The sequence below is a fragment of the Homo sapiens genome, chromosome 1 (genome assembly GCF_000001405.40).
Source record: "Homo sapiens chromosome 1, GRCh38.p14 Primary Assembly".
Lineage (NCBI taxonomy): Eukaryota > Metazoa > Chordata > Mammalia > Primates > Hominidae > Homo > Homo sapiens.
In genome coordinates, this window is record NC_000001.11 from 233,207,191 (window position 1) to 233,222,508 (window position 15,318).

Below are 15,318 nucleotides of genomic sequence, written 5' to 3' on the forward strand. Positions count from 1 at the left end.
TAGAATGCCTACCAGGGTTTTCACCTATAAGGAGCACAAACAAAGCTTACACCATACCTGGGCACTCTCCCTAGTTCCACTAGAGAGATTCAAGGGGGCTGTCACAGAAGTTGGGAAAGGATGATGTGGGACCAAAGGCTTTGACAGTCTCTTGAGTAAGATTTCCAGCTGGCAAGCGAGAGATCCAGCTAGTGATGTTGGTAGAAGCTGCCCTTTATCAACTCAGCTGGTCAATGTGATCACAGACAATAACAAGTTGGCAGGTGTGCAAACCCCTGGATGTCTCTGCAAGAATTCTCAGAGCATATGCCGTCGGGTCAATACCGGAGCAATCACTTTGCATAAAAGGGACAACAACAGCTGATGCTTGGTGCCCAGCACTGCTCTCTATGTCTAAGTATACCAACTCATTTAAAATTTTCAGTAATTTCTGAGGTGGCCAATATTTTTGCCTTTATATCACAGTTAAGTTTTGCTCAAAGTCATATACCTAGTGAAGTGGCAAAGCTGGGATTCAAACCATCAGCAGTTTGGCTCCAGAGTCAGGGCTCAAAACCATACAGTATGCAGGTGACTTGTTTAAACAGAGCGTTTTATATAAAATACTGCCTAAACCTTAAGTCAAGCAAAGGGATTGGTGGAAGACTGGGTGATCTGAGTATTCAGGACTCCTCCTGGACTGAGAACCGTGCCCATTCATGCTGCTACCCTGATGGCAAAACCATCCCCAGCAGGCACCGTAACAACCATTCTTCAGATGAGCATTTATTTTTTTTTTTTTTGAGAAAGAGTTTCACTCTTGTTGCCCAAGCTGGAGAGCAATGGCGTGATCTTGGCTCACCGCAACCTCTGCCTCCCGGGTTCAAGCAATTCTCCTCCCTCAGCCTCCCGAGTAGCTGCAATTACAGGCATGCGCCAACATGCCTGGCTAATTTTTTGTATCTTTTTAGTAGAGACGGGGTTTCACCATGTTGGCCAGGCTGGTCTTGAAATCCTGACCTCAGGTGACCCACCGGCCTCGGCCTCCCGAAGTGCTAGGATTACAGGTGTGAGCCACCGTGCCCAGCCCGGATGGGCATTATTATAATGGACATTATAGTGCTGCAACTTCTTGGTCATAAATATCAAAATCCTTTAAAAATAATTCCATAGTTGGATGCTTTGAGGCTTGGGCTCCCAGACAGTCTTCGGTAGATATGCAAGCCAAGAGGAAAGTGCACATCTCTTCACCCAATAATCAAGTAAGGAAGCTTAGAAATTCAGAAGACAAAGGGGAGACATACCCCCAACCCCCATATTCTTCCCCACAACCCCATAATTAACTCACCTATTAAGTAGTCCCTAGCTGATTGTAGAAACACTGGAGAGAAGAGCTTCAGGCCATACACAACGTAACTGGGAGGGTGCCTGGCTTTGGCCCCTGTATCAAGAAGCAAAATAAGGCCACACAGCACACAAAAATAGATTGGTCTGCTATATGTTATGATTTGGTTGTGTCCCTAGAAAACAAACACAATTTCTGAATGGTACCTCTTATTTTGATTAAATGAAAAAAGCCTCATAGTCAATAATTTACACTATATCATATAACTTATACATATAACACATTTTCCCCCAAACACCACAATTCATATACAAAAAAAAAAAAAAAAAAAAAAAAACAGGAAAAAAAGAAAAGAAAAAAAAAGTCTGATTCTTATTCTGTCAAACCAGAATGAGACTATCAAAAAAAAAATGTTATGCCTATCATTCTCAACAAGATTTACCTGAAAATTTAATTACCATCCTGAGATAAAATCTAGATCTAATTCAATGCTTTCCCCAACAGTGAAACTTCCATTCATCTTGTTCATTCCAAGTGCAAAACTAATTTAAACCACTGTTTGCTCTACACTTGGGTGCCACTATTAATAAGAAATAGAATTATAATTTGTGGGCTTTAATTTCCCAGTCTCTTAGAAAGCAAGACAATATGGGTATGAAGTTATACCTGCAGAGATTACATAAAATGTCTTAGTGTGCACAGTGGAATCATTCAGCTTAAAAAAAGTGTTATTTATACTATGTACACAGCATTTTCCTGTGAGGGATACCAAATATTTAGCAGACCTGATCTTATCCCTATGCCTATTGTTATGAGGCAAAGTAGAATTATTTTTTATTCTTCTTGAATTGAGAGAAAAATTAAGGAAAAGATACAACATCAACTTTTCAGGGCAAAAGCCAACAAAAAATTTACATCTCATAAATCAATGCACAATTTATAAGATTCAGGGGGAAAAAAACAATGAAAATGAATTGGGAAAAATGTCTTTTGCAATTCATGAACTGCCTTGAGTGTAAAAAGGAAGGATTAAAGTGATATGGTTTCAGATGTGAATTTTTAAAGTCACTGCCTTGAACACGTTATATTTAGAAATGCAATTTAAATTGCCACTGCTTCTATAATAGAAATCGTCCTATTCTAAGACCATCTTTTAAGAGGAAGGAAAACACAGTCTGTCCATGGAGGCTGGCTATGCTTGGCCCAGAGTCCAGGTTCAGTCTTAAGAATACTTGTACTCTTATGAAATTTCCTTTTGAATCCAACTAGGTCATAGATTAATGGGTATGGGAATACTTTTGTTGCATTTTTAAAAACTGAAGCTAAAGCCCAAGTTCAATCTAAATGTATTTCTCATCAAGTGAATAGCAAAATAAATGTGTTGGTATAAATAACGATGCAGTATACAAATACACATGTATATGAGACATTTCCTCAAACTGGCATGGTTTAGGAAATATCATTAAATAGCTACTTTCCACTTGCTCTGATTTTTTTTCTTTGATTAAAAGGTTAAAAATACATTATTCTAAAAATTAAAAGTCTTTAGCCTTTAACAAGTCTGAGATAGTATTTTGAATCTTCCAAGTCAAACTTTACTGGGCATGGGAAGGTTTTCTCTCTATTTGTAATTTATGAAACAAAACTTATAGCACTGTCACAAAAAGCCTGCCCTCATCACCATGTTACTGCTTTACCACATTTTCCCATTCTATGTTTTGGGTCCCCAAACCATACTAAGCATTTTGCTAATACAAGGCACACAAACCACTTTTTTTTTGAGACCGAGTCTCACTCTGTCGCCCAAGGCTGGAGTACAGTGTTATGATCTTGGCTCACTGCAACCTCTATCTCCCAAGTTCAAGTCATTCTCCTGCCTCAGCCTCCCGAGTAGCTGGGACTACAGGCACCCGCCACCATGCCTGGCTAATTTTTTGTATTTTTAGTAGGGATGGGGTTTCACTATGTTGGCCAGGCTGGTCTCAAACTCCTGACCTCAGGTGATCCACCCGACTTGGCCTCCCAAAGTGCTGGGATAACAGTTGTGAGCCACTGTGCCTGGCCACTACTTCTGTTTGCCTTGATTTCTGAGAACACCTGTTAATAAAATGTCCCTGCTCTTCAATTCCTACTGCCACATATGAATCAATCATCAAATCTCCTAAGGACTGATTTTTTAATTTTTCCAGTAGAAAAATTCCAGTAGCTCCGCCAGCTGAAGTCTGATCATAATCTCTTAAAAACTCATTTGACACCATCAGGCCCCATCTGCTTTTAACCTTAAAATACACTGTAGGGAGCACCAGTGGAATTCAGCTGGGGAGCATCTTGCAAGGCTATTGCACAAAAGCAGATCTCTGTGTGCATTTGCGTTTTCCATCAGCCCTACCTCCATAAGCCGTCTCATCACCCAAATGCTAGTCTCAGTGCAGAGAAGGAGCAAGGTTCGAGACTCGAACAAAAACTCCAGGAGTCCTGCCTGTGGCAAGCAGTGGTGCCTGTGGCTAAGTGACGAGGCCATCCTAATTATCCTCTTAGAGACAGTGGAATGGTCAGCTGCTTCGAATGTTCTGTTGTTGTGAAGTGGGGAGAAAGGTTTTTGTTGTAAGGGAGCTGGGGTGTCTGGGAAAATTGTAGAGGCACACGGCTTGGCCTCAAGGGGAATGACCTGAGGTCTGTGCACAGCCTGGCCAGGCTGCCTCCATCCTCTCTCTCAGCTCTGCTGCATGTGCCAGCTCCAGGCTTCATTCCCTGGGACAGAAGAGAGCCCCTGACATCTGCTGAGTTGACAAATGTTCCTGTCTCCCCCACATTCAGATTTTTTTTTTTTTTTAAAGAAAGGATCTTGCTTTGTCACCCAGGCTAGAGTGCAGTGGCATGATCATAGCTCACTGCTGCCTCCCTCTCCTGACCAGCTATTCTTTTTGACAACTGATATAAAACAACAACAGCCACAACAGCTAATGTTTGTCTGGCCTTTCCTGCATCCCAGACACTGAGTGTCCTACCTACTTCAAGTGTATTCATGTAGCGAACCCTCAGAATACCCTGAGAAGCATATACTATTCTCATTTTGATAAGAGTAAACTGAGACATAAGGATGAAGAAACTGTCCCAGGCCTCACCAACAGAAAACAGCATGGCAGAGTAAGGACTGGAGCCCCATTTGCCTGGCTTCCTCTACCAACCATGGGGAGGCATGCATGTGGCACTGGATTCTCCAGACCCAAGGACTCAGCCTGACATCACAAAATTTCATTCATACTCACCACTCTTTAAACACAGAATGTGAACATTACTCATGTGAAGCAAATTCGGAGAATGAGGAAAGCATCCATGATAGTCTTAGGGTGTCAGTTTTTTCAAAGGACTCTGGGCAGAGAAAAGGGCTCCTAACTTGCGGAAGGTGTCGAAAACCCAGACATTCTCTGCCCATTTCTCGGCTGTTGCCCTGTGACATTATGGTCACGTACACTGAAGTCTCATCACTGCAACAAGGGTTTGCTGTGTTTTATCATTTCTCACAATGGTGTAGGTTAGTTTAATTAAACATTATTTTTTGGTGGCTGTTGATGATTTCGTTTTTACTTTAGCTTTAGCAGTTCACTTGTACATTCAGAGCCATCCTAAATGTTCATAATGCTCTTTGGTTCCCCTTGTATGTGGAGCAAGCAAGGACAGCTGGGGGCGGGCACCCACCACCCCACTGTGACCCTACACAGCAAATATTTTATGATCCACACTTTGTATATACAAGAGAATCCAAAATATTTTAAGGAATTCTCTTTGTATGGAAGAGAAGCAGTAGCCAAAGGGTTAAATAATTCTCACCGGTTTACTATTGAGATATTAAGGTACAACGTCAATTTAAATATAGCAGAAATGTGATAGGCTACTTTAAAAATTGAAAAGAAATAGGCAAATAAGATTCTTTAAGCTTAGTTTATCGTTGAATTCTACAGAACAATTTATGTTAGGTCCAACTTCGTAACTTTCAGATCTGTGAATCCTGACAAAATGGCAGATGCAGTTGTCCAGGGAAGAGGGCAGTGAAATGGGTATCAAAGTGTTCATCAAGTGCCGTCCAGGGCACTCCACTCCGCTATCTCCTAGTTCACGTATTTTCCTACTGTCTCAGCACTGCCCTCAAAGGCAGTGAAAGAGAGCAGTAAGAGTGGTGACCTACATTCTGCCTTTAATCAATGGTAGAAATTAAGTATGATTTGAAATGGTTTCTGTTTTAACTACTACTGTTTTGAGCAAAGACACAATTGAATATTATTTGAGAACTTTTCATCAAGATCCATAAAACTAAGTTGACCTTCTTATTTCTTAGGATTGAGTATTGAGAAATTATTTCATGTCATTCAAAATCATTCCTCTGATAAGCACTACATTAGCCAGGTGATCAAGGTCAACATCAACAGAGATAAGTCATATTGATAATTTGTCCCGTTGATGTGATGTGATCCATCATGTTACCTCTGTGGTTTTCCTCCTAAAATCCATAATCCCTATCTTATCGTGAGATAAACATAAGAAAAATCCCAACTGAGAAACAGTGTACAAACTACCTGACCAGTCCTCCTCAAAACTGTCAAGATCATCAAAAACTATTAGCATACTGGCATATTAGTATATATGTTCCTTGGATTTCTTCCAGTATCCACCTCACCCTATATATTTTTTTAAGTTTGCCAGAAACTGTTTCCTTTTAGAATCAGACTAATAATTTTCAGGCTTAAGGAAAATCTGAGAAATGGTCACAGCCAAAAGGAGCCTACAGAGACAAGACGGCTATTATAATGTAATTTGGTGCCCTGGATGGGAACCTCAAACAGAAAAAGGGCATTAGGTAAAAAACAAGGAAATCTGAATAAAATGTGGACTTCAATAATAATGTATCAGTATTGGTCCATTAATTGCAACAAATGTATCATATTGTGACTAATGCTTGAGGTTAATACAGCGAAACTGGGAATGGGGTATACAGACACTCTTAGTACCACTTTCCCAATTTTTCTGTAGATTTAAAACTACTCTAAAATAAAAGGTTTACTTACAAAAAATAATCTCCAATAATTTCTACATAACCTGAAGTGGATACCAAATGTCCTCCCTGAATAGTAGCAACAGTTAATTGAATAGAATGCATAACAAGCTGTAGCCCTCTTTGGAGTTTGTACTGTAAGGAATCAAGACACATATGTAAAGAGAAAGGAAACATTTACAGAGGACTTAGTATACTTAGTATACGCTAAAGCCTGCACCAGGCATATTACATACATTGCCCAGTGCACTCTTTTTTTTTTTTTTTTTTTTTTTTTTTTTGAGACAGAGTCTCACTCTATCACCCAGGGCTGGAGTGTAGTGGCGCGATCTTGGCTCACTGCAACCTTTGCCACCCGGGTTCAAGCGATTCTCCTGCCTCAGCCTCCCGAGTAGCTGGGATTACAGGTGCCTGCCACCGTGCCCAGCTAATTTTTGTATTTTTAGTAGAGACGGGGTTTCACCACCTTGGCCAGCCTGGTCTTGAACTCCTGACCTTGTGATCCACCCTCCTCGGCCTCCCAAAGTGCTGGGATTACAGGCATGAGCCACCATGCCTGGCCACCCAGTGCACTCTTTATTAAATCCAACTGATGTTATTCTGATTATCCGTATTTTGCACAAACACAAAAATACTGCTAACAATTGCTAAGTGCTTCAGGGCCAGATACGGTGCTAAACACTCAGGGACACTGCATTGTTTCATTCTCTTGCAATCCTGTTTTATTATTTATTCTTCTTTTGCAGATGAAAAACCTATGATTGAGAGAAGTAAGTTTCCCAAGCTCTCACAGCTTACACATGGTAAGGCTGCATTCAGATATGAACCCTGTATGCATTTGGTTACTCCAATATTTCTCAAAGTGTGATCTGTGATTGCCTCCACCATAATGACTTGGGAGTGTGTAAAAATGCAGATTACCGGGTGCTGTCCCAGCCAGTAGAGGGGAGGGGGGAAATCGAGCTCTGCCTCTGGCTTGCTCAGGCGATTCCGGGCACACTGCTCTAGTTTTTCACTGTCTCTTGGATATTCTACTGAATTTTGCTTTCTGGGTTATTAGTGGTTACTGTCAGTTACACATATATGGACACCTGTGTAAGCAAATTAATATCTTCATTCCCCATTAATATATTGCCATCTCTGATCCTCAAATTGCAAAGTTTCAGTTAGACAGTATCCAACTCCTAATCTTTCTAAGCTCTCCCAGACCTATTTTCTTTTAGAATCAAACTAATTTCTTTTGAGCCCAGGGGCTACTGTATCATACCTGTTGCCATGCTATTATTATTCATTCTGCATTTAAAATTGAAATACACAGTGTTATGCAAAAACTTTATTTTCATTTCGCTATCTTCTGATTTTAACAACTTGCTCAAAATATGCCACCTGTGCTCTTAGAAGCACGCAAAAAAGAAAGGTCTGTCAATCACTCTAAGAGCAAAAATTGGCTGAATTTATTAACAGCTACCCTCCACAAATGTGCAAAATAGTGCCGTCTGAAAAGCAGTTTGGTTCCTTTCACAGCCCCTTATGAATAAAAATCAGCAGCAAGCTTGAGAATCGTCTCTGTGTCCCAAACCTGGGTTCCCGATCCTGACCATCTCCTTTCTAAAGCTTTCTATCTACAAATGGGAGGTAATAAATCTGTCTTCTAAATACCCACATGGTTCAGTCAGATTGCAACAAGAAATATTTTATAGCTACCATATTTTGTTTCTTCATTAGAAGTACTGGAGAAATGCCAACTCAAATCAGAGACTAATCTACTTAGAAATCTGTGTAAGCAAATTAATTACTGCAATAAACATAGTTAAATGTCTGACTATGTCTTACAAAAGTGATTTCATACTGTCTCACTATATGACATGCTTGCTCAGATAAAGGAATAGCAGCTTGATTGATTCCTCTGGGAACTAAATAATATAACTCCAACCTAGAGCAGTGGCATACGGGCCATAGTAACAGACATTACAAATCCACAAGGATTATGCAGCTGTACTTGCCATCCACCTTTACTGGGATGTCCTGCATTATTTCTGAAAGGATATGCAGGAAAGGAATGTTTAACAGCATAGAACACCCCTCCCCAGAGTCATGCAGAAAAACAGCGACACTGAAGTGCAGTTAGGAGTGAGGAGAGTTGACTGAGGCAGGAGAATGGTGATGTGGCATCTAGGGTGGGCTTGAACAAAAAAGCTTCAAAGCTGTACATCTCTCTCACACCACCTAACCCAGATTTCTGACGATAATCACAACAATACATCTCAATACCCTAATTATGCTGCTTCTACTTATCTTGACATTCAGACTCTAGGATAAAAGAAGATGTATTACATGTAAACCAATTATGGGGAACAGAGGAATTTAACAAGATAGCAATGTATGCCATGTGATCGTCCAATTATAAGCTTTTCTTAATTACTATGAGCTAAACAGGAGCTATCACAGATTGAAAAATGGGTCCTAAATCCTGGATATAATTTTTTTTAAAAGCACAATAGAGGGAAAAATCAAGCTTTCTTTCATTGGGAGGGTTTTCCAGGGCTACAGGAGATTGCCACAACAAAGGAAAGACAGTTGCTTAGCGAGCTGGGGAGTCTACCTGGCGGTGAACTCGGTACAGAGGCATGTGGCTCAGATGCCTGCAAGGGGCACTGCCTGTCCCATAGCACCCACCCCGTAGGCCACCATGGATGAGCAAAGGGGCAGCAGGCTCAGAGGAAAGCACATGGGTGTGTTTCAGAGTTCACAAAATAATGCCAGGGCACCAACAGATCAGCATAGGTGAGCTCAGAGTCTTTGTTATGAATTAGCTCAAAGTTACAGAGATGAAAAGTAACAATATATGTGAAAATGTGGAATAAAGAGATTAGCTTCATGTAAAAAGAATAAACGATTCAGGGAAATGCAAGTTAAAACCACAATGAGCTATTACCTCATGCCTGTTATGATAGCTTTAATCAAAAAGACAAAAGATAACAAGTGTTGGCAAGGATTTGGAGAAAAGGAAACCCTTCTATACTGCTAGGGGGTACAGAAATCGGTACAGCCATTATGGAAAACAGTATGATTTCTCAAAAAGAAAATAAAAATAGAATTTTTAATTCTATTTGAATATGATCCAGCAACCCCACTTCTGAATATATATCCAAAGGAAATAAAATCAATATGTCCAAAAGATATACGCATCACCATGTTCATTGCAACACTGTTCACAATAGCCAAGACATGGTATCAACCTAAATGTCCATCAACACATGAATGGATAAAGAAGATGTGGTATATATATATATAATAGGAATATCATTCAGCCTAAAAAAAGAAGACCATCCTGTCATTTGCAACAACACTGATGAATCTAGAGGACATTATTAGGTTAAGTGAATTAAGTCAGGTGCAAAAAGAAATATACTGCAGGATGTCACTTACATGTGGAATCTAAAAAAGTTGAACCCATAGAAAAAGCGAATAGAATGGTGGTTACCAGGAGGCAGTGGGATGGGGAATGAGGAAAGATTGGCTAAAGGGTACAAAGTTTCAGCTGGACAGGAGGAAGGAATTCTGAAGATCTTCTGTATAGTGTGGTGACCATAGTTAATAATAATACACTGTTATACTCAAAAACGGCTAAGAGAGTAGATTTTAAATGTTCTCACCAGAAAAAAAAATGATAACTATATGTGGTTATAGATATGTCAAACAGCTTGATTTAATAATTCTACAATGTATACATATATCAAAACATCACCCTGTACCCCATAAGTATATACAATAAATTTTAAAAATAAGAATAATCATTCATGCCCATATAATTATATCACTAATAATAAGAGCTAACCTTTATTGAGCAATCTCTATGTGTCAGGTACTGTTATAGCACATTAAATGGATTATTTAATCCATGTAGGCATTTCCATTAGACCTATTTACACATAGGGAAACTGAGGCATGAAAAGGCCCAGTATGTTGTTCAGTGTCAAACATTCAGGTGGAGGAATCAGGACACAAAGACAGGCAGTCTGATGGCAACGTCTGCGGTCTTCCCCCAAGACTGCTCGATCTTTGTTGACTTGAATCCAGTGGGATAGGAAAGACTCTGCACACACTCTCCACCCACTGCCCCACACCTTCCCCCATACCACCCACACCATGCTCTCAGACTTAGCTGGAAGCTGGCCACCATGCACTTATATATATATATATTTGATATTTCTATTTTATATTCAGTATAGAGAGCTAGGTACAGACTTGGCCCTTTGACTAGATTTTGGCTTTTTCCCTGTCTTCAACACAGACAGACAAGAAAAGCTACTTGCCTGTATTTGGAAACTTACGTGTATTGGTGAGGCGGGGTCAGGCTGAACACTCTAAAACACAAATCAGAAGTGTCTGTGTCATCATCTCATGATTTCAAGGCTACATTAGTGACAGCACACGCTACTGGTAAGAATTAGATGTGGTCTTGCCTTTAGCAGGGAGTACTGGCAGCTGGCCATGACGAGGCAGAAGAGGAGCACCCACATATCTTTGCAAAAGCCTTGGCTCAAGGTCAGAAATCCAAGGAGGGAAACCAGGACAATGAGTAAAATCGCCAGTACATTCTCCTTGATGTCTTCAGTTCTGTGCAAAATATATACATAAAAGCAAAAAAAAAAAAAAAAAAAAAAAGTGTAAGTTTTGCCTTTTTTTTTTTTTTTTTTCTGAGATGGAATCTTGCTCTATCGCCCAGGCTGGAGTGCAGTGGCATGATCTCAGCTCACTGCAAGCTCTGCCTCCCAGGTTCAAGCAATCCTCCTGCCTCAGCCTCCGGAGTAGCTGGGACTACAGGCACCCGCCACCAAGCCCGGCTAATTTTTTTATTTTTTTTAGTAGAGATGGGGTTTCACAATGTTAGTCAGGATGGTCTTGATCTCCTGACCTCATGATCTGCCCTCCTTGGCCTCCCAAAGTGCTGGGATTACAGGCGTGAGCCACCGTGCCCAGCCAGTTTTGCCATTTTTAAACAGAATGCCTTCATGTTTCCAAAAAAATGAACCATGACAACACAGTAGTTACCTTAAGCAAGACTTTATTCCCCTGTGAGATTTTAGGGTTTCTTTCTTTCCTTATTCCTCATGCTATATAAACAAAATCCAACTTAATACCAGATTTTTGTTATTGAAGCAAATAAAATCTCATCCCATTGGATCTGCTTGGCCACTAAACTGGGTTTACTGGCAAAACGTAGTTAATGATTCCATCCATGACCATGAAATGTGTTTCAGATAAAGAGCTTCACTGGTTCCTTTCAATGGAAGGGGGTGGTAAGGGGGATGCATTCACACCTGGCCTAAGCAGACAATCATTTCCAGATAAAACTTTTGGTGTCCGAGTTTACTGTCAAATTTCAGGAGCCAGGAGAGCTCCAGCAGGAGAGTTGAGGGTGAGCTGCAACTTCCTGACAGTGCAGAGGACCTGCCCTGGGGTGTGTCGGGTCCACACTGTCTCACTGGGTGACTCTTGTATGGACTCCCCATACAAGGTATAGGGTAGAGAGGTGGGGTCATCCAGAGGTGGAGTGTTATCAGGTGGGTATGCAAAGGACAATGTAAGGCTGTTTTAGGATAGAGATAGGAAGGGGCTACAGGGCTGGATCATGTAGCCTAGGTAGAATAGGGAGGAAACTGAAGATGGCAAGGGCTGCAAGGTAAGAGAAATATGGTGGGGCAAATTGCTGGAGAGGACTGAGGAACATCTGAGGAAGTTAGAGAGAGATACAAAGGATGAGCAGAGACAGGATTATAATGTCAGAGGTGGAAGACTTCTGTGAGAGGATAAGATGCAGGGTGAGGCCATGGAAGGAAGTGGCAGAAATGGAGTCACAGGGGACGGCATGGACCACAGGGTCAGGGAACAAGGGGCCTGGGTGTTTGGGTGGGTCATTCGCAAGGATTCTGAGTATACTTCTCACCTTTCCAGTTTTTGCTCATATACCTGTTTTTCTACCCCACTAAGCTGATATTGTTTTTTAGACAAGAATATTTGGCTACTTTGTGCCTAGCAAGTAGGCAATTGTGAACATTTAAAAAAAAATAATAGGATATGTTGTTGAGAGACATTTGTGATTCACAGCAAAACTGAGGGGAAAGTACAGAGTTCCCACATAGCCCCTCCCCACAGACACATGCACACAGCCTCCCCCACCATCAACATCAACTGATGAACCAACATTAACACATCATTATCCATCAGTATCACCCAAAGTCCATAGTTTACATCCGAGTTCACTCTTGGTGGTGTACATTGGGTTTTGACAAATGTATAATGACATGTCTCCACCAAATGAGAACTCTAGTGAAAGTTCCACTGCCCTAAAAATCTGTGCCCCACCTATTCATCACTCCCCTACCCTAAGCCCTGGCAACAACTGATCTTTTTATTGTCTCCATAGTTCTGTCTTTTCCAGAGGACCATATAGTTGGAACCATACGGTATGTAGCCTTTGCATATTGGCTCCTTTCTTTAAGTACTATGCAGTTAACGTTCCTCCATGTCTCTGTGGCTTGGTGCCTCACTTCTTTTTATCTCTTATAGCATCTCATTGTATGAAGATACCACAGTTTGTTTATCCATTTGCCTTTTGATGGATATCTTGATTGCTTCTGAGTTTTGGCAATTATAAATAAAGCTGTTACAAACATTCATGTGCAGTGTTTTGCATGGACGTATGTTTTCAACTCATTTGGGTAAACACCAAGGAGCATGATTGTTAGATCGTGTGGTGAACAATATGTTTAGTTTTATAAGAAACTGCTGAATTGTCTTCTAAAGTAGCTGTACCATTTTGCATTCCCACCAGCAGTGAATGAGCGTTCCCGTTGCTCCACATCTTCACCAGCATTTGGTGTTGTCAGTGTTTTGGATTTTGGCCATTCTAACGGGTGTGTAGTGGTATCTCATTGCTGCTTTAATTTGCAGTTCCCTAAGGACTATTGATGTTGAATGTCTTTTCATATGCTTATTTGTCATCTGTATATCTTCTTGGTGGGGTGTTTCTTTAGGCCTTAAGCCCATTTTCGGGTTGTTCCTTTTTCTTACTGTTGAGTTTTAAGTGTTCTTTGTATACTGGATGACAATCCTTCGTTTTTTAAAATATTTTCTTCCATTCTGTGGAACATTTTTTAACGAATGAAAAAATGAGGGAAAAAGAACCCGAATCTAATGCTGACACCTGATGCTTCAATAGCTAACAAAAATGAGAGAAACAGTAAAGAGAAAACATTTGAAGAAATGAACAAATGCATGAATCATTTGATAGGGACTTTTTATATATAATTTCAGATAGATAGCTATAGAGATGATTGATTGATAGATACGTATACAGATTTCACAGATTCAAAGAAATAGAAAAATAAATAACTATAGTAAAATAGGTTTGGAGCTGGGGCTGCCGAGAGGCATAGCCTTGGGCCTCCTAAACAAGGAAGGATGGGAAACTCTGAGGACAACAGCCAGAAGGAAAACAATGGGTGATTTGGTTGACTGAACTGCAGCTGATATATTACAGAATAATAGAATAGGGTAGAAAGATAACATAGAAATATATAGAAAGGCTGAGTATTCAGATAATCATGAGGCTCAAGTTGAATTTTTTTTTTTAATCGGGGGAAACCAAAATATATTTGGCAAAAAGGAAATTGTGGGTATCTTTTATTTTCCACTGTGCACTTTTAATAGTGCTCAATATATTTGGTGTGTTGAGGTCCATGAAATTCATGATCTCATAACATTTTGATGGATACTTAAAAATATCCAAAGGTCTTTGAAATAAAATTTCAAAGAAAAAAAAAACCTTTTTCTGTTTGGGGAGGGCAAAGAATAAGGTTCCTAAAACATATTTTTCCTCCAAATTCTCCTCTGCCAGGATTCAATTCCTCTGCCCCCAGGTTCCCAATCCTCTCTCCCTCAGTTTCCTGTTTATCTATCTTTAAATATCGGGTTAAAAAGTTTACTTGCCAGGCAAAGAGTGACATGACTAAGGCTGTACTTTTGAAAGATTTATCATGCAGAGGTTTACAAAGTGCACTGGATGGGGAAGAGAACAGAGCAAGGATAAACAAAACTCCCAGGAGAGGTAATGAGGGCCTGGGAAGCTCACATGGCTGGGGAATAGGAAAGGACCCCTGACTCGAGGACACAACTCAGAGTGAGGCTTACAGAACTCCAAATGGATTATGGACAACGAAGGACTGATTGAAAGAATAAAGATTACTCCAAGATTTAAAAACCTGAGAAGTAAAGGATCATGGCAGAATCCATGGCAGAAATTAGGAAGGGGAGCCAATTTGCAAAGGAAAATTGGTTTCTTCCTTCATGCAGCAAAAGTGCTCCACACTGTTCTAGCTGCTTTGACATCAGTGAACAAAAGAGATGGGAGCTTCCTTTCCTGTGAGTGGTGCCATAAGTAAGTATCAACAAAAAAGTTCAGTAAAATATACAATATGTAAACATAAATGCAACAGAAAAAAGAATAGAACCAGGCGAGAGAAAAGGTGAGGGAGTTGGCACTGCAAACATCTGGGAGACGAATGTTCCATGCGCAGGAACTGCCAGTACAAAGGTCTTAAGCTGGAGGATTGCCTGGCATGCTTGAAAGACAAAAGGAAGGCCAGTATGGATGGAGAAAAGTCCACAGGGATAGTGGGAGATCAGGCCAGAAAACAAATTAGTGGCTACAGCATGGGGGACTTGAGGGCATTGTGAGCACTTTGATTTTCATTCTGAGTGAAATGGGGAGCCATTGCTGGGCAGTCGGTAAAGCAGTGACGTTGAAAAGACATATTGTGTTGGGTTAAGAATAGTGTACAGGGGCTGAGCATGATGGGCACCTGTGATCCCAGCTACTTGGGAGGCTGGGGCAGGAGGATTGCTTGAGCCCAGGAGTTTGTGACCAGCCTAGGCAACA

At 40.6% G+C, this 15,318-nt stretch overlaps 1 protein-coding gene across 7 annotated transcripts in view; it reads right to left on the minus strand.

Moving 5' to 3' along the window:
* The window catches only part of PCNX2 (pecanex 2), a 343,895-nt gene that overhangs the window by 223,756 nt on the left and 104,821 nt on the right, over positions 1-15,318 (minus strand). For all 7 annotated transcript variants that reach the window (XR_001737430.2, XM_047430870.1, NM_014801.4 and 4 more), the window contains 3 exons: positions 10,841-10,994; positions 10,709-10,741; positions 1,328-1,499 (listed from right to left, as the gene is read on the minus strand). Coding sequence is in view for 6 of the 7 variants with exons in the window: in XM_047430870.1 (XP_047286826.1) it covers positions 1,328-1,499; positions 10,709-10,741; positions 10,841-10,994 (359 nt within the window). In the remaining variant the exon portion in view is untranslated. The remainder of the gene's footprint in view (positions 1-1,327; positions 1,500-10,708; positions 10,742-10,840; positions 10,995-15,318) is intronic.